The sequence below is a fragment of the Homo sapiens genome, chromosome 3 (genome assembly GCF_000001405.40).
Source record: "Homo sapiens chromosome 3, GRCh38.p14 Primary Assembly".
Lineage (NCBI taxonomy): Eukaryota > Metazoa > Chordata > Mammalia > Primates > Hominidae > Homo > Homo sapiens.
Window position 1 is genome coordinate 93,894,069 of NC_000003.12, and position 19,667 is coordinate 93,913,735.

General features: G+C 37.0%; 1 protein-coding gene across 2 annotated transcripts in view, besides 2 other annotated features; it reads right to left on the minus strand.

Moving 5' to 3' along the window:
* PROS1 (protein S) overlaps positions 1-19,667 on the minus strand; it is a 100,846-nt gene that overhangs the window by 21,018 nt on the left and 60,161 nt on the right. For both annotated transcript variants that reach the window (NM_000313.4, NM_001314077.2), the window contains 6 exons: positions 16,551-16,637; positions 11,953-12,075; positions 11,716-11,847; positions 6,736-6,861; positions 4,380-4,501; positions 2,508-2,623 (listed from right to left, as the gene is read on the minus strand). In NM_000313.4, the coding sequence (NP_000304.2) occupies positions 2,508-2,623; positions 4,380-4,501; positions 6,736-6,861; positions 11,716-11,847; positions 11,953-12,075; positions 16,551-16,637 (706 nt within the window). The remainder of the gene's footprint in view (positions 1-2,507; positions 2,624-4,379; positions 4,502-6,735; positions 6,862-11,715; positions 11,848-11,952; positions 12,076-16,550; positions 16,638-19,667) is intronic.
* Positions 12,086-12,586: an enhancer, noted in NCBI's record as "H3K4me1 hESC enhancer chr3:93624998-93625498 (GRCh37/hg19 assembly coordinates)". NCBI's record gives its function as "activates a minimal SCP1, AML or CMV promoter by ChIP-STARR-seq in primed H9 embryonic stem cells {active_cell/tissue: H9 hESC(primed)}" and the evidence as "EXISTENCE:reporter gene assay evidence [ECO:0000049][PMID:30033119]".
* Positions 12,587-13,087: an enhancer, noted in NCBI's record as "H3K4me1 hESC enhancer chr3:93625499-93625999 (GRCh37/hg19 assembly coordinates)". NCBI's record gives its function as "activates a minimal SCP1, AML or CMV promoter by ChIP-STARR-seq in primed H9 embryonic stem cells {active_cell/tissue: H9 hESC(primed)}" and the evidence as "EXISTENCE:reporter gene assay evidence [ECO:0000049][PMID:30033119]".

Below are 19,667 nucleotides of genomic sequence, written 5' to 3' on the forward strand. Positions count from 1 at the left end.
TAACTATTAGTCACCTAACTTAAAATAAAGGCAATTTAAGTTAAAGAGTCTGGACTTCAGATAATTGCTATATTAGGCAGGACAGAATCCCACACTCTTACCGCAATATAGTAAAATAGTAATAGTAATAGAGGCACCATTTGCAATGGGGCACGTATCTCCCTCAAATGGAACAAAGAAAAGGTGACAAAATGAATGTTTTCATCTTTAGAATTCCAAAGAAATATTTAAAAAGAGGTAAAATGTGGAGTAAAGTATGTTGGATGGATAACAATGTAGTAGGAATTTACTGAACTCAGATTATGAAAAAAAGAACAATTTTGCTTGGAATAAGGACTTCTATGCTCTTTCATAATTATCTGAGCATTTTGCTGATGTGAAGCAATATTATCTTGCCAAAATCCAAATCTGTGTATGCTCAGGATCTTCCAGCAGTTGATTCTATTATGGAGATAATTTCCTTTTCTTTGTAAAATCAGGCTGAAATCATAGTTTCAAAGGGTCATGTTCTGCATATTTTGTTTCTGGAATATATCAGCAGCATATTGATTCATTACAATGGGGAACAATTCATTCTTTTTCACAAGCATGGTAAACAGGAAAATAGAATGAATTTGTTGACATTTACGGAGGGAAAGTATTTGATCATGAGCAACAGACGTCAAGAAATTTGCAAAAATAAATAAAAGCACTAGCTATTCTTTGTGTTGATCACACAAGGGGCAGTTTATAAAAATTCATCAAGCTATACATTTAATCTAATGTGTACATATCGGTACATACTTTATATTTCAATGAAAAGTTTAAAATAAATAAATAATAAATTCTGGAAAAAATAATTTGTCCAATTCTGATCCCATGTTAGAGATCAAACTACTATGAATCGTCAGTGAGAAATGAACAAACTCCTGGAGATTGGCTCCAGGACCTCTGGATGGTATCAATATCCACAGATGCTCAAGTCCCTTATATAGAATGGCATAGTATTTGCATATAACCTATGCACATCCTCTCACGTACTTTAAGTCGTCTCTACATTATGTATAATACTCAATACAATGCAAATGTATGTAAATAGTTGTCATACTGTATTGTGTCTCATTTGTATTATTTTGTATTGTATTGTCATTGTGTTTTTTTCTGAATATTATCTACCCGAGGTTGGTTAAATCCACAGATGAGGAACTCAAGGATTTGGAGGATCAATTGTATTCCTAAAAGTGTTATTTACTAGAACTAATATTTTTCTCTCATTATTATTCTCATAGCAGGGAAGAGTTTTCTCCAATCTCTATCATTAGAAGATATTAGTTGCTCTGTGATGTTAAAGGAAAAAACCACATATTGGCAGAAATAAAGTGTGGAAGGAGCACTGTTACTTAAGTATTTATGTAAGTTATTGATCTTAGAATAATTTTCAATGTTTTTAATAACGTCTATGAATTTAGTTGAATTATTTAATGAATAATCATTCATGTATCTAACATCAAGTTCTAAACATACATGCTTATTTAATTAAAATATTTTAAAATTTGAACTGTATAATCTGTCTCAAGTATTTTGCCTTCTCATTATTCCAAAAAAAATCCAATTTCTTTCTTCTACTTCCAGCAATGTATGCTTCTGAGAAAATCTGATAACTGAAGTACAATTATGGCAGATCACCTGAGGTGATCACCTGAGGTCAGGAGTTTGAGACAACCCTGGGCAACGTGGTAAAACTCTGTCTCTACTAAAAATACAAAAATTAGCTGGGTGTGGCAGCTCACACCTGTAGTCCTAGCTACTCAGAAGGCTGAAGCAGGAGAATTGCTTGACCTGGGAGGCGAAGGTTGCAGTGAGCCGAGATTGCGCCACTGCACTCCAGCCTGGGGAACAAAGCAAGACTCTGTCTCAAAAATAAATAAATATAATAAAATAAAAATTGGATCATAAACATTGCTATAAAAATAAGTGGAATCATGACTAAAAAACATAAGCATTTACTTCATTTCTGAACTCAATCTAAGTACGATAATAATGGATAAAGTATTTAGACAGCCAACTAAAATTATGTAATATATGTCTTTAAAATGCCACTTAAGCAAGTTTAAATTTTTTCCTTAATAATTTTGAATATAATGATATTCTAAAAGCAATACTGAGTATTTTTTATTACCTGGTTTTCATAACATGTGTAAAGAATAATGGAAATTTCACAAGTACATTAAATCTACTTTCCCAGCTTCTTAGTAAATATGCATTTTCTACAAAAGGAATAATATGGAATAATGTAAAATGTTCATTGGGGAAAGTCAGCCTAGAATGACTCAAAAAGGTTTTAGGATGAAAATTACATGTGTGAAGGAGTAAATTAACTTTAGGTTTCCCCAAGTCATCTGATTGGTAATATGACTACATTATCTGATAGGTAATACAATTTCACACACTTCAAACCTTTTCGGCCACTTTTCTTCTGCCCTTATCTGCTTAACCTCTAGAAATTATCATTGGTATTGGTTCCTCACCTGCTGATTTCTGGCAAACGAAATTTTAAATATAAAACAACCCCTGCAAACTGCTCCGCCAAGTAAAGTAATTCATACTTTGTGTCAAGGTTCAAGGGAAGGCACACTGAAACAACCTGGAATAAAAGAAACCAAATAAACAACAAGAAAATCAAAATGCACAGGTTATTGCTTAATGTTTGTGTGAGGTCATGCATTTTTGTTTGGTTACTAATGTATCATCTGTAATACACTAAAATAATTAAGAATATTTTTGGTAATAATAAATACATATCTTCCATTTCCTTGTATAGTCTATCTATCAGTATAACCTCCAAGAATACATGTGTTTTAAAGCCTCGTTCAATGTGCATGGCTTTCGATCTTTGTCTTTAATACTTCCTTTGCAAATTTTCGTCCTAAACACAAACTCTTTCTTCAAGAACCAATATATATTTCTTTAATTAACAGTCAGGTATATTATCTCCCATGAATTATGTCTGAAAATTATTTTTATTTGAAGTCAGAAATAGGTGTAAGAATTAATGTACCAATAAACAGCACCTCATTCATTCACTCATTCATTTATTAAGCAAAAGTTTTCTGAGCAAGAATGTGCTATCTAGATAGTAAAGGGAATACTGGAAAACATGAAGGAAATAAATATAAATTCAGATCTCATAGTCTCCAAGGAATTTACAAGAACATTATTTAAAGTCATCACATATGGTATCAAGTATTTTTTTTCTACGAGTGAAAACAAACATTAAAATGAAAAGCTTTTAACATACAAATTATTGAACACATATGAGGATATTTTGAGGAGAATTACGTACATAGCACTATATTAAATATAGGCCCAGAAATAACATTTTATTTCCCCTTAAAACTTTAATAAATCTATTTCAAGGCAGACGGTGATATGTAACTACACCAAATACAGAAATAATAAAGGACTAAATTACAAAATAGATGTTCACACAGCATGGCATTTCAATTAAGTAGTAACGTACCAAAATTACAACAAATGCCAACTAGCTTATTACCAAGTAGGTTGCATATTATTGAATGTGACATTTTTCTGGACATATACAGCTTTGTTTTGGCAACAGCTATAGAGGTATGTATGTATACTTAGTTAAATCATTATTTAGGCATTTTTTATGGTCTGCCTCATAATAATATATAATTTTACCTTCACTTGTCAAAAAAAGATGCAGGAAAAAAAGAGCTCAGATGGTGACATTTATTTCAATGAAGTAAAAATGAGCACCTACCCCCAATATTCAATTCCTGGGTCAATTATGCATTAAATCTAAGTAATTAAAAGCAAGTTTGAGAGACACAGATTAAGAAATCAACCTCTCTGAATTATGATATACTTAAACCCCACTAAATCCTAGAAATGGTTAAAAGGGTACATTAAAACTGCACTTGTACCCTCTGAAATTTTATGAGCACTTTATAAACCCTATAACGCCTAAGGCATGATCAAACTAGTCAGAGTGGAATCCAGAAAAGTAGACACTGGAAAATGTTTTCACTGAAGTTTCTATGAGAGATTTTTTTTCACAATGAGGGCTATTAAACTCAGCTTTTCTTGATTTCTTAAGTAAACATACAAGTTGTATTTTATAAATGTACAGACTACAGATAAGTACTCTCTAAACTGTGACTCTACCCTCTTTTTTTTAAACCCAGCCACTAATTATCCCCAATGTTTATGACTTACATGACCATAATTAGTAAATAATCATGACTCATAACCTGCTTAAAGCTACAGCAATTATTGCAGAACGTCTGTATTTTCCTGACTTAGCTATGTGAAAATAAGTATCTAGGATCTCTCATTTTAGAAAACAGGTGAGAAGTTAAGCATTGTAAAATGTTTACCTCACAACTCTTCTGATCTTGGGCAAGTTTGAATCCTTTCTTCCCATCACAATAGCAAGTGTAACCTCCAGGGTAATTGACACAAAGCTGAGCACACATGTTCTCAGAGCATTCATCTATATCTGAGGTAAAAAAAACACACGCACACAAACTTTAATATCCCCTAAATGTTCAATCTTATAGGCAGAGGAATATTATGATTGTAGTATGATATAATCAATGATAATCGAACCTTAGGGAAAGAAATACTATGACATCAAACTACATTTAAACATAATACTGAACATGGAAATTTAAACGAGTTACAAGTATAGTTTTTATTTACATATTTGAAACAAAAATTAATTTATAACTTTCAGTGATTAAGTAAAGTATAACAATTCTACCAAATTTCTCATTTTGAATTTGAAGAAAAAAAAGATTGAGAATCTCAACTTAACTGTCATTTCTGATCATTTGAATTTCATTGAGATTACCTCACAATTCATTGCTTTGAAAAAAAGAAAAAAGAAATGAGAAGGGAAAGAGGAAGGGAGAGCATGATGGGGAAGTAAAGGAAAGGAAAGTTAGGGAAGGGAAGGGAAGAAAAGACCCCTTTAACTGAAGGTTGATACAATCAGGAATTAAATGACAATATCAAGAACATTGGAACACTCATAATGCGATAATTAATGTTGGCAGTGAATTTAGGGAAATATCTGTTTTTTTTTTTTTAAAAAACCTCACTGTGATGTAATCTCCCATATTATGAAATCTTCTATATGGTCCCTGTCCCTACTCCATATTTTGAGAAAATCATTCTTGGAAATTTATAATATTATGTTGAAGCAAACATCTATCTCAGAGTTATATAAGATCATTGACATTTTCATTGGATATGCCCTATGACCTTTAAAACTCCACAAGCTCATAAATGCTATTATTGAATATGTTCTCATAAAATAATTTAAAATAGATTCCCAAAATTAATAATCCTTAGTATTAAAATTGCATATTATTAAAGTTATAGATAAGAGTCATATATAAATCTTTTTAAAAAATATGTCATTCATTAAATAAAACTACAATACAAGTGATGAAGTTGGCTAATGATAATTCCGCAGACATCTAGAGTTTTCCACGGTAATTTCTATCTGCAATGGTGAGAAAGGAGAAATGTGTTGCGGGGGCTGGCAGGGGAATATTTTTGGTGATTGCAAAAGGAGATGATAGGACATCAAAATCTCAAAAGCAGCATACGTAGTTAAAAAATATATTGTAAAATTATTATTGATTTAGGCAACTTCATAGAGACAGAAAACAAGATTAGAGGTTACCGCCATCAAGGTAACTAATAAAAGAAAACTCACTGCTTAATGGTTACTGCTTAAGAGTTTCTGTTGGGGCTGATGAAAAAGTTTTGGAAATAGCAGTGATGGCTGCATAATGGCATGAATGTAATTAATGCCACTGAACTGTACATTTAAAAATGGTTAAAAGAGTACATTAAAACTGTACTTGTAGCCCCTAAATCTATTTTTTAAAAGGTACATTATACATGTGTGTGAATATACATACATACATATATATATACAGATACAATAGAAAAATTAGTGTTGATTAGTTCCAGCCATGGCAGTAAATCTGTTTTAAAATTTTAAAAAATCGAAAGGAAGGTATGAGATAATCTGTATATCATAATAAACAAACCTACAAACAAACAACTATAATATGTTGAAGCTTCCTGATGCACACAGGGCAGCGCCACTGCAGTCACATGAAGTAACAGCACCTTTAAGGGGTTGCCCCAAACCCACAGGCTCTGACATTACCGATCAGTATTTCTTAAATTTCTAGAGTATTGTTATCATTTCTTTATCATGAGATAATAGAACTGTGTCATTTTTTATTTTAGAATAAATGATTTATTTATATATGCACAGAAAAATCACTGAAAAGCTTGGAATAAAAACTAAAGTTTTAACCATGCTCATTGTCTCAATAAGATGATTTTTAAGCTTGTGTCTTTCTTTTCTATCTACTGTTTTTCCTTCCAAAGTGAAATTCTCTTTATCTTTGAATATGATATAAATGATGTGAAAATATGTTTATCTTGTTTTTACCACACATGGAGGTCTCCAATTCATAGGTAGCTCAAAGGGCCAACTGGCGTGCCTAACACCAAACTTAAAGACCATATGCCTTACATACTCTTGCTCTGGAAGGAAGGAAGCCAATGATTACCCAATTGAACAAGCTATATTAGGGATAAGAAAATATGACTGTTGATGTCAAACAAAGCCAATGCTTTTAAATATCAGTTCAGGGTTCACACCCACCCTCTCCACCATCAGTAATGATACCACCATCATCCTACCTTCACAAGACTTTGATTTGAGATTATATCTGTAGCCTTCGGGGCATTCACATTCAAAATCTCCTGGGATGTTCTTGCACACAGCTGTGCCACAAATGCTTGGCTTCAAAGAGCATTCATCCACATCTATAAATAAAATCACTATATTAAAAAACATTTTTCCCATACCAGCAGACACTACCAAAGAACCCTTGATTTGTGTTTCCTGGATCTTGTTTAATATATGTAATGAGATAACAGATTGGCCTTTGGACCAAAAAACATTAAATCTATCATCATATGTTAGCTCACTAAATATGATTTCTTTCTACAAATGCAGAGGGAAATTTGATTGATGTTTGCCATGTTCCTTTCTAGTTATGTTAAGAAGGAGAAAGCTTTAGAAATTTTCTTATCTGCCAGGTTGTGGTGCGAAAATAAATGGAGGTCTTGAAAACAGATTCACTCCATATTATCACAAGTATTTTTTGTACATGGGAAGGCTCATCTCTTCTATCTTGTTTCTTTGGAAATGAACAAACATCTAATTAGTACACTACTATTGTTGTCTAAAGTAGACAATAGTGATTCAAATTTAAAATAAGATTAAGGTCTCTAAGTACTTATAAATCTGCAGTTAATCCAATATGAATTTAGTGCTAAATGAATATTCCAGAAATTTCAGATGCATATATTATATTGCCAAATGAAGAAGGAGATAACATATTGTTAGCAATTAGTTACTAGATGAGCACCTGTGAAGAAAACAAAACATGTGACAGAAATAGTTCAATGGAGACGGAATTATTAGTGAACTATTCTGTGTACTCTCTGGAGAAAGACAAATTCAGAACAGAAAATATGTTTTCTATTCTAAAAGTTGACAGCTTTTTTTCCAGATTAATAGTCAAAATTTAGGATATTATTTAAAATAACTTGCACAAAAATAATAAAACCAGTTCCCTTGTAGGAATTTTTCTATATTTTGACTGTATCATTGTCAATGTCTTGAGTGTGAAATTGTACTATCATTTTGTAAACTCTTACCACTAAGGGAAAATGGGGTAAAGGGTATATAGCATCTCTCTGTATTACTTCTTACAACTTCATGTGAATCTTTAATTAATTCAAAGTAAAATATCCGATTTTTAAAAAGAGCTAAAAACTCTATGTTTTTGAAATAAAGTAAGCCTGAGCAACAGTGGGACACTGTCTCTACAAAGTTTTTTTTCTTAATTTAGCCAGGAGTGGCCGGGCACAGCAGCAGTGCTGTAATCCTAGCACTTTGGGGGTCAAAGTGTTCGAGACCAGCCTGAGCAACATGGTGGAACCCCACTTCTACATATTAAAAACAAAAAAGGAAAAGAGAAAAAAATTAGCCAGGAGTGGTGGCATGTGTTCTTGTTACTAAGGAGGATAAGGCAAGAGGATCACTTGAACCCAGAAGCTGGGGTGCCTTGAACTATGATTGCACCACTCCACTCCATCCTGGGCAACAGAGGGAGACCCTGTCACTAAATAAATAAATAATAAAATAAAATAAAATCAGTAAAAATATGTCAATAAGTGTATTTGGTTTGAGGCATATTGCAGGGAATTATTTAGATCATACAAGTTTAAGTTACAGTACATTGGTTTTATGACTCCAAACTGACATCTAATGTCTGACTGAAAGGTTGTATTCTTTCAGCTGGGCACAGTGGCCCATGTCTGTAATCCCAGCACTTTGGAAGGCCAAGGTGGGCAGATCACTTGAGCTCAGGCGTTCAAGACCAGCCTGGTCAACATGGCAAAACCCCGTCTTTACCAAAAAATACAAAATTGGACAGGCGTGGTGGCATGCGTCTGTAGTCCCAGCTACTCGGGAGGCTGAGGCAGGAGAATCACTTGAACCCGGGAAACAGAGGTTGCAGTGAGCCGAGCTCACACTACATTCCAGCCTGGGCATCATAGCGAGACTCTGTCTCAAAAAAAAAAAAGAAGAAGAAGAAGAAAAGAAAAGTTAAGCTTTATTCTTTCATCTTTAGACAGTTACTGGCAACTGGATCCCAACCATTTCTACATCTTGGCAAAGGTCTCATTGTAATAGTGTTTTTTGTGGTTTTGGTTTGTTTGTTTGTTTGTTTGTTTTGAGACAGATCTGTTGTGATCTCAGCTCACTGCAAGCTCTGCCTCCCGGGTTCACGCTATTCTCCTGCCTCAGCCTCCGGAGTAGCTGGGACTACAGGCACCCGCCACCACCCTGGTTAATTTTCTGTATTTTTAGTAGAGACGGGGTTTCAGCGTGTTAGCCAGGATGATCTCGATCTCCTGACCTGTTGTTGATCCACCCACCTCGGCCTCCCAAAGTGCTGGGATTACAAGCATGAGCCACAGTGCCTGGCTGTAACAGTTTTTTATATATTCTTCTATCTGTTTTATACGTTATTACTTACATATCATGACTAAACAATAATGCAAATGAATATAAGAACAGATGTGGTCATCAGGAACATTCCTATTAATAAGAGCACTTTTGTAATCATTTACACATATATATGTGTATTAACTGAGTGGATAAGAATTAAATACTTTTTAATTTTTAAAAAGTCACAAATTTGGCCAGGTGTGGTGGCTCATGCCTGTAATCCCACGACCTTGTGAGGTTGAAGTGGATGGATCACTTCAACCCAAGAATTTGAGACCAGCCTGGACAGTATGACAAAACTCCATCTGTCTCTGTACAAAAGCTACAAACATTAGCCAGGCATGGTGGTGCACACCTGTAGTCCCAGCTACTTGGGAGGCTGAGGTGGGAGGATCTCCCAGGAGGTTGAGGCTGTATTGAGTTGAGATCGTTCCACTGCACTCCAGCCTAGGTGACAGAGCAAAACCCTATCTATCTTAAAAAAACAATAAAAACACAAATTCTTTAGAAAGAGACTATTAAAGTATTTAAGCGTAGAAGTAAGAATGGGTACTATTTGTTTACAAAATGCATATGGTATCCAGCATTGTGATGGTTTTTCTATCACTCATGTCCTAATGACAGTCTTTTTTTTTTTAATTATACTCTAAGTTCTAGGGTACATGTGCACATTGTGCAGGTTAGTTACATATGTATACATGTGCCATGCTGGCACGCTGCACCCACTAACTCGTCATCTAGCATTAGGTATATCTCCCAATGCTATCCCTTCCCCCTCCCCCCACCCTACAACAGTCCCCAGAGTGTGATATTCCCCTTCCTGTGTCCATGTGATCTCATTGTTCAATTCCCACCTATGAGTGAGAATATGCGGTGTTTGGTTTTTTGTTCTTGCGATAGTTTACTGAGAATGATGATTTCCAATTTCATCCATGTCCCTACAAAGGACATGAACTCATCATTTTTTATGGCTGCTTAGTATTCCATGGTGTATATGTGCCACATTTTCTTAATCCAGTCTATCATTGTTGGACATTTGGGTTGGTTCCAAGTCTCTGCTATTGTGAATAATGCCGCAATAAACATACGTGTGCATGTGTCTTTATAGCAGCATGATTTATAGTCCTTTGGGTATATATTCTAAGTAGTCTCAAAATCCAAACTCAAACAGACCTTCAAATAGGCAGATAAGAAAGATACATGATCACAAATTGGATAACTGTTTAGAAGAATTTGTTGTTAATGTAGTTCACTTTAGAGTCATTTAACTGCAGTTTAAATAATATTATAGTACATTTTATCATACTAAACACTGCTATTCAGTAAGAGATGGATGATTTGAACATGAATCCAATTTAGGGCTTTACCAAAATATATATAAAATAAAGAGTCGAACAAGAAATTCACATTTTAACTTACTTTTTTTTTTAACATTTTAGCAAAACAAGCAAACAAAAAGTACTGGAGGAGAGAACTTGGATATTATATTGTATCCAGTTTCTAAAGGCAAATTTTAAGTCCAGGTGGGAAATTTTATTTTTAGTCATCCATACACCTGGTATGAATACTTGAAGATTTAGTCATAGCATTAACACAGCCAAACTGAAAGACAGTATACAAAGAGAAAAAAAGTCAAAATTTAGGGATAGGAAAACAATGAAAAACAAAACAAATACACTAGTAAAATGACTTGTTAGAAAGCTAAACTAACAGGGAATATTTAAGTCTGAAGAAGAAAAAGGAGTTATGACCAATGATATGATCTTAAAGGTATAAAGAGAAAGAAAACTAGATCTTTTACTTTCCCAAAACCACAACAGGAAATGAGGTGCCAGATGAAGGGCTGATGTTGGAAATCAGAAAAGTATTTCTGAAAAGGAAAAATAAAATACAATGGAAGAGGTTATTGCAGTGGATTTCTTTCTATGGCTATGTATCTTACTAGAAGAGAATAAAAAATATAATGTCTGAAAACAGGATAAACAATGATTTTGCAAAGTTTGTAGCATGCAAAGACTTGCATTGAAACATCACTTTATAATGAAATTCCTTATTGAAACATACACACAAGTGTGTACACGCACATACAATAAGAAAATTTTTAAAAATTGTGTTATCAGTACTGTAAACTAAAATGCAGGCCAGGCAGAGAGCTCCCATCTGTAAACCAAACACTTTGGGAGGCTGAGACAGGAGGCTCACTTGAGTTCAAGATCAGTTTGGGCAACATGATTAACCCCATCTCTACAAAAAATACAAAACAAAACTAGCTGGGCATGGTGGCATGCACTTGTAGTCCCAGCTACTTGGGAGGCTGAAGTCAGAGGATCAATTAAGCTCGGGAGGTCAAGGCTACAGTGAGCCATGATGGAGCCACTCTACTCCAGTCTGGGAGACAGAGTGAGACCCTATCTCTCAAAAACAAACAAAAGCTAAAAAGCAGTTCCACAGTATCACAAGGCTTCAATGTCGATAAAAATGTGTTAGTATAAGCACTTACATATCATTTTTCCAAAAATTTGCTAGTAAAATTTCTCTAACTGGGATTATTCTCACATAGTAAATGTGTTTTAATTCTACCATCCTGCTCTTACCTTTACAATCTTTCTTATTTGAAAGCATAACAAAACCATTTTTACAGGAACAGTGGTAACTTCCAGGTGTATTATCACAAATTTGACTGCAACCTCCATTTATATTTGAGGGATCTTTGCATTCATTTATGTCTAAAACAGGAAAAAAATAAATTATTTTTAAAGTAATATAACCTGCAGAGAACTTTTCAGGAGACCAATCCTGATGAGCTGGGGGGCGGGGGTTATTATACGTACCAAATTCACACTTTTCTCCTTGCCAACCTGGTTTACAAGTGCAAGTAAAAGAAGCTTTTCCATCTTTGCAGCTCATATATCCATCTTCATTGCATGGCAGAGGACTACACTGGTCTGGAATGGCTGAAGGAAATAGACATCTATTTATTTTTTTTATCTCATGTCATGGAAAAATAAAATTGTGTGTACTATAATAAAAATCCTGAAGCCTAGAACCAATGAAAAAAAAACACACAACTCCTTTCTTTAAATAATACTTTTCCTAAATTAAAAAGTGAGCCTATTAGGCAAATCTTTATAATTATTTTGTAAAAATAAACTACAGATGGCAGCAGTGGCCCATGTAGAGTGGCCGCTGCCAAGACGCCAGCTGCAGTGGGGATGTGGGCCAGGGCCTCCCACTCCACAGAGCAGATAGGAGCCCCACACTCCCCGGATGCTGCTGCAGCTTTCCTGTCGTGGCTCCGGACCCGGGTGTCTCTGTGCTCTTGGGGGCCTGCTCCCGCTGCCAGGCTTCTCCCCGCAGCAGGCATCCACTCTGATCTTAGAGGCATGGCCAGGGCTGCACGTGCCATGGAGCTGGTAAAAGCCAAGGACAAGGGGGAGCTCCACTCCTTCCAAACTGGTGGGACAAGAGTCCCCTGAGTGCAGCTGCAGCTGCCCAAGCCTGGCTGGAAACCTGGGCATCTCTGTACTCTTGAGGGCCTGGGGAGGCCCATTCTGCCCACCACAGGCTCAGAAGTGCCTGCTCTTGCTTCCTGACCTCTCCTCTCTCCTGGCACCCACTCTGGTCATGGAACAAGGTTGGAGCTGAAGCCAGCTGTTGTCGCAGCCTAGCTGGGTGGGCATAAGCTCAGGGCAGCGCTAACATGCCAGCACCCTGTCCCCTCCAGTCTTTGGGCTCCAACAAGCATGGGAAGGGAGCTGAGGGGCATGCTGAGGGCAGCTCAGTGCTGGCCTGCAGGCACCCCCTTGGCACAAACAGCCTGGGTGCCATGAACAGTGGCAGGAGGTAGACAGCTTCCTAGGTGGAAAAGGGTAGGTCCCCTGTGAAGTCCCACCTTCAGGCTGGGGAAGGCCTGAGGCCTGTGGGCTGGGCTACCAGTCCTGCTGACTGATGGGGGAACACTGGGTGCTTTTTCCTGGGCCCACCCATGGCAGCCCATGGACCAGTCAGCATGCACTTTCCCTCTCTGAAGACCATAAAAACCCCAGACTCAGCCAGAGCAGAACAGATATCCAGACAACCAGCTGCAGAAAGGAGCTACCATCTCCAGGGCCTCCCATGTACTGGGAGCTGCAGACATCGAATGACCTGTCTGTAGAGAAGAACCACTGTCTCCAGGCCCTCCTCTGCTGAGAGCTGCTGATGGGACAACCAGCTGCAGACAGGAGCCACCCACTCTAGGCCTCCTCTCTACTGAAAGCTGCAGAGACAATGGGATGACCTGGCTACAGAGAGGAGCCACCTGCTTCAAGCCCTCCTCTCTGCTGAGGGCTGAACACTTGATGGGACAACCTGCCTACAGAGATGAGCTACCCACTGAGGGTCTCCTCTGAGCTGTTCTAATGCTCAGTAAAGTTCCTGTTCATCTTGCTCACCCTCCACTTTTCTGCATACCTCATTCTTCATGGATGCAGGACAAGAACTCAGGCAAAGGCACCACCAGCCACAGAAGTTTCCAGCCAGAAAAGCAACACCCCAAAGATCCCATAACACTACTTCTGGATTGCAAGTATATACAGTATTTCATAACTGTAATTTAGATATTTTTCCAAATATATTACCTCATTTGAGCCTTAGAACAATTCCATGAGGTAGACAGAACAATACTATTCTCAACATTAAGAGAAAAAGAGGCTAGGTGTGATGGCTCACACCTGTAATCCCAGCACTTTGGGAGACCAAGGCAGGCAGGCAGATCACTTGAGGCCTAGGCAACAAGGTGAAACCCTGTCTTTACGAAAAATACAAAACTTAGCGGGGCGTGGTGGCACATGCCTGTAGTCCCAGCTACTCAGGAGTCTAAAGTGCAAGAATTGCTTGAACCTGGGAGGCAGAGGCTGCAGTAAGCTGAGATCATGCCACTGTGATAGAGCCAGGCTCTCTCTCAAAAAAAAAGAAAAAGAAATTAAAATTTTCAATTTGGACTAAGATGATGTAACAAGGAATAGATTTATCTTCCTGCCTTAAATAAGTAGAACTTCAGTCTAACTATGTAAAATAATGGTTTTTCAAATATTGGAGAACAGGAAGGAGAACACCGTAATTCCTAAGGAAAAGAAAATAAACAAGCTGAGACCTACAATTGGACCACATTACTGCCTGGAGATAGCTTCTATGCAACAGTGCAAGAAACACAAACAGATCCCAGTGGTCTCCCTGGGTTGAGAAAACAAATATTGGAGTTTGGGGAGATCAAATTAGAATTCTGCTGGTCAGAGTACTATAAAGGCAGAGAGAGGGAAAAAATGTGTGTGTATGGAAAGAGAGAGAGAAAGAGAGATAGAGGAAAAGAGAAAGAGTCTCCAGAGATCTGCAAAAAGATCCCGTAGGGTCTTTGGCTGAATGATGATTTGCACAGGAAAATTTCCAGAGCTCAGAGAGGGATAGGGATAGTTTGTTTTAGACTACCCAGACCTAAAATATTTCACAGTACAAATGGCATCAGGTGGAATCCTCACAAGGACTTATTATTGAGGCTAAATTAGTTTTAAGCTAACGGCTACTCCAGATTGCCTTAACAGAGCTTAAAATCAAACCTCAAAAGATTTGTTTTTAATGTATTCCACATAAGTTACCTAAATGCCACAACAAAATCAAACACTGTTTGGAAGAAGCAAAGAAAATCCAGGACCCAGCAACATAAGCTGTAAGCTTATTTTCTTTTCCTTAGGAGTCACAGTGTTCTGCTTCCTGTTCTCCAATGTTCAAAACCATTATTTTGTATACTGACCCAAAAGAAACTCACTTGAAATATAAACACACTGGTATGTTCAAAGTTAATGGATGGAAAAGTAAACCATAAAAACACTAAACAAAAGAAAGCCAGAGTGACAACATTAATATAAGATAGATTTTAGAATAAGGAATATTACCAGAGAAAAAGAGCAATATTAAGAAGTACAAAGTAGGGCCTGGAATGGTGTTTCATGCCTGTAATCCTAGCACTTTGGGAGGCCCAGGTAGGAGGATTGCTTGAGGCCAGGAGTCTGAGACCAGCCTGGAGAACACACCCAAGACCCCATCTCTATAAAAAATAAATTAGCCAGGAGTGATGATATGTGCCTATAGTTCCAGCTACTCAGGCGGCTGAGGCAGGAGGATTGCTTGAACCTAGGAGGTTGAGGCTGCAGTGAGCCATGATTGCACCATTACACTCCAGCCTGGGCAACAAAGCAAGAGCTTGTCTAAAAAAAAAAAAAAAAAAAAAACGTACAAGTAAAGATCAATTATAGTGCCTTGTTTATTTTCTTCCTAAAATATCGAAGCACTTTATCAATATGGCAAATGACATGCCATTTGTTTTTTATTTGTAATTTCTGTCCCCTCTTTAGACACTGCAATAGTCCCTTGATTTCTGCACATATCCACACCAGCCTCTAAACTTCCCAGTCAACTGTACATGTTCTTCCCATCCTTCCAATACTTCCAATACTCCCAATACTGCCTATATTTCTATCTCTTTGCATATGTTAGCCAAAGAAAATTTTTGTTGTTAAATAAATAAATAACCAACCTAGCTAACGCCTAATTAATTCCATAATTTTTTAAAAAAGTCTTCATAGGATCGTTTTTTTTGAAATGTGGCAATACATTAGGTATTAGTTTAAAATCATAGAAAATAATAGAAAATTTTTATCAAAATTATTATTATTCTGTTCTTTCGTAAATTTTAAGAAAAGATAAAGCATGAATTAAATCATTAAATATACGTATTCAGACAAACTGTACTCCCTGTGTAATTACAAGCACTTTAAATTAGAGAAAAACACAGTTAAAAGAATATCTAGAGAATTTCAATCCTGGATGTAAAATATTCTCTGAACAAACATCACAATTTATATCCTGTGATTGCACCATTTGCTTTTACTAATTTACCAATTTACCAAAAAAGAGTCAAAAATAATGTACCAGAATTATCATTAGGCCCCTTGTGAACTTCAGAGCAAGAAAGCTAATTTGATTCACATAACATTTTCCATGTTTATATTATCAGTGCCAAAAAGTTAGAAGAATAAACATGGCTCTACTTTGAGCTATTAATCTACTGTAACATTTAGTCACACTACATGATTATGCAACAACAGCCAAAATAAAGCTGTTGGGAATAAAAATTCTGAAGCTGATAACCTTTAGGAACAGAGAACACTGTTCAGTTTAAACATTAGGCAAAAAAATTCATTTTGAGTAATACAGGAGCATTTACAACTATAAACAAGTATTAGAAATGCAGTTTGAAAATACTTCCTTGCTGGGCATACAACCCATCAAAGGATCATTTCTCAATTTTTAAACGTTAGTTTATATTACCATGGGTGTACTTTACCTACAGAGTTTTTGTTTTGTTTTTTCAATTGATGGTAGAAGTGCTTACCATTGACACAGCTTCTTAGGTCAGGATAAGCATTAGTTGACTGACGTGCAGCAGTGAATAACCCAGTTTGAAAAGAGCGAAGACAAACTGAAAATAAAAACAAACATAATCTTCTTAGAGTAGACACACATACTTGATCTGAATTCATGGTAGGAACTGTCCCAAGAGGTAGGACATTTATGCTCCTGTAGATTCACAAGATTCAGTCTTCAAAATGCAACACTAAATGTTTCCATCTACCTTTCTGAAAAATTAAAAATCTACAAGCAAGATGGCAACAGATACAGAAACATAAAAAATAAGTCTGTGACAGCTTCTTCTCTCTGGAGAAGAACCTTAAAGTCAGAAGTGAAAAAAACCTTGATTTAGCATAGAAATTTATTGTCATATAAGTCTATGTTTTTAATTCCACAGCAGAAACAAGATGTTGCCCTCAAATCTACTGACCAGAGTCTGATTTATAAAGTATATGTAATTAAGTCAATAGAATCAGTTCGTGTTTCTACTTGCTATAGGCTACTTCCAATTCTTCTCATGTTGCCCTGAGATTAATACAGTAATATTTGTATAATGCTTCTATATTACAAATCAGGTTTACTTCATTCCCTTCATTCTTCACTACAACCCTGTGAAATCAGATATAGCAACCTGGTAGATATTGCTAGGAAACTAAGAAATAACAGCTGGAATTGTAAAGATGAAATACTTTGTGACTTTAACGTAACTAGGAGTTACTTAGTGCCAAAAATATATTTCTTAAGAGGCACTAAAGACACCATATGTATTACTTCATTGTTCAGACAGTCACCAGCTTACTATAAAAAAGATGGTGTTTTACTTAGCTTTTGCCAAGGAACAAACCACCCCCAAAATTAGTAGCTTAAGTAATCATTGTATTTTTCTCATGATTTGCGGGTCAAATATTTGCAGAGTTTGGTTGGGTTGTTTGTCTCTGCTGCCAATGGAGTCAACCAGGATGGCTGGGGCAGGGGACTGCTTCCAAGATGGAGCATCTTGGAAGTTCTTTGGCATCTCTCTTTCCATATGATAGATCATGCTTCAAAGTTCTCCACGTGGGTGTTTCTCTTAGCATGCTGGTCTTAAAGTGGCACTTCTTTCATGACAGCTAGCTTCTAAGACAGAGAAAGCAAACTGCCATGGCAGTTATGGGACACTGTATAACTTCTATCATATTCTGTTGATCAAAGGGGTCCCAGGGTCCACCCAGATTCAAAGGGTAGGGTGTGGGTGGGGGATTTATTCTACCTCTTGATGAGGACACAGCAAAATGACACTGTAGAAGGGTATGTGGAATGGAAGACATTTTTAAACCATCTTTGGAAAAATACAGTGTATCACAGACAGATTAAAAGATTCATTTGAAGTCAGTATGTGTTTAAGTTACCTATGGCTGCTATGACAAATTACCACAAATTTAGTAGCTTTAAATAATAAAAATTTATTGTTTTACAGTGCCGAGAGTCCAAAACCAAAAGGGCTAGCAGGGATCCATTCCTTCTGGAGACTTCAAGGAAGAATCCCTTTCCTTGCCTTTTCCAGCTTCTAGAGGTCATCTGCATTCCTGGGCTCATGGCCTCATCCTTGTATGTCTACCAGTTCTTGCTTTATCATTCCATATCTGACTCCATATCTACTACTGACTCTAATCTCCTGCCATCCTGTTATAAGGACCCTTATGGTTTTATCGGGTCCTCTCAGATATCCCAGGATAATGTCTCCATGGAAAGATCTTTCATCACATCTGCAAAGTCTCCATTTGCCATATAAGGTAACAGTCACAAGTTCTAAGGATTAGGACATAGATATGTCTGGGGCGGGGAGGGGCAGGCAGGGTGGAGGAAGGAGGTCATTATTCAGCCTACCATGGTGAGATAGAATATTTTCCCAAATAAGTCTTACCTTACACATTGTGGGGGTGTTTCTGGAGCCCCTATCTGAGTCCACTTTGTGTTGCTATAACAAAATACCACAGACGGGCTAATTTATTAAAGAAAGAAATTTACTTCTCCCAGTTCTGGAGGCTGGGAAGTCTGATATCAAGGTGCTTTAGTGTCTCATGAAGGCCCTCTTGCTACACCATCCCACAGCAGATGGCAAAAGAGGGCGAAAGAGCAAGACGCTGAATTTGCAGCCTCAAGCCCTTTTATAATTGGTGTTAGGCTATTCATGATGGTGGAGCCTTAATGACCTAAACACCTCCCATTAGGCCCCACCTCCCAACACTGTTCCATTGGGAATTAAGTTTCCAGCACATACTTTTTGAGGGTCACATTCAAAGCCTAGTATTTGCTCCAGCCCCCAAAATTCATGTCCTTCTCATGTGCAAAATACGTTCATTCCATCTCAGTAGTCCTGATATGGTTTAGCTGTGTCCCCACCGAAAAATCTCATCTTGAATTCTAATCCTCCACAATCCCCATGTGTCAAGGGACAGACCAGGTGGAGGTAATTGAATCAGGGGGGCGATTTTCCCCATGCTGTTCTCATGATAGTGAGTGAGTTCTCATGAGATCTGATTATTACTAAGTGTTTGGTAGTTCCTTCTGCATTCGTTCTCCTTCCTGCTGCCTTGTGAAGAAGATGCCTTGCTTCCTGATATAGTTTGGCTGTGTCCCAACCCAAATCTCATTTTGAATTGTAATAATCCCCATGTGTCAAGGGCAGGGCCAGGTGGAGATAATTGAATCATGGGGGCAATTTCCCCGATACTGTGCTCATGGTAGTGAGTAAATCTCACAAGATCTGATGGTTTTATAAATGGGAGGTCCCCTGCACAAGCTCTCTTGCCTGCCACCAGGTAAGAAGTAACTTTGCTCCCCATTCACCTTCTGCCTTGACTATGAGGCCTTTCCAGCCATGTGGAACTGTGAGTCAATTAAACCTCTTTTACATTATAAATTACCCAGTCTCAGGTATGTCTTTATTAGCAACATGAAAATGAACTAATACGCTTTCCCTTTGCCTTCCGCCATGATTCTAAGTTTCCCAAGGCCTCCTCAGCCATGCTGAACTATAAGTCAATTAAACCTCTTTTCTTTATAAATTATCCAGTCTTGGGTATGTCTTTATAATAGAGTGAAAACAGACTAATATAAG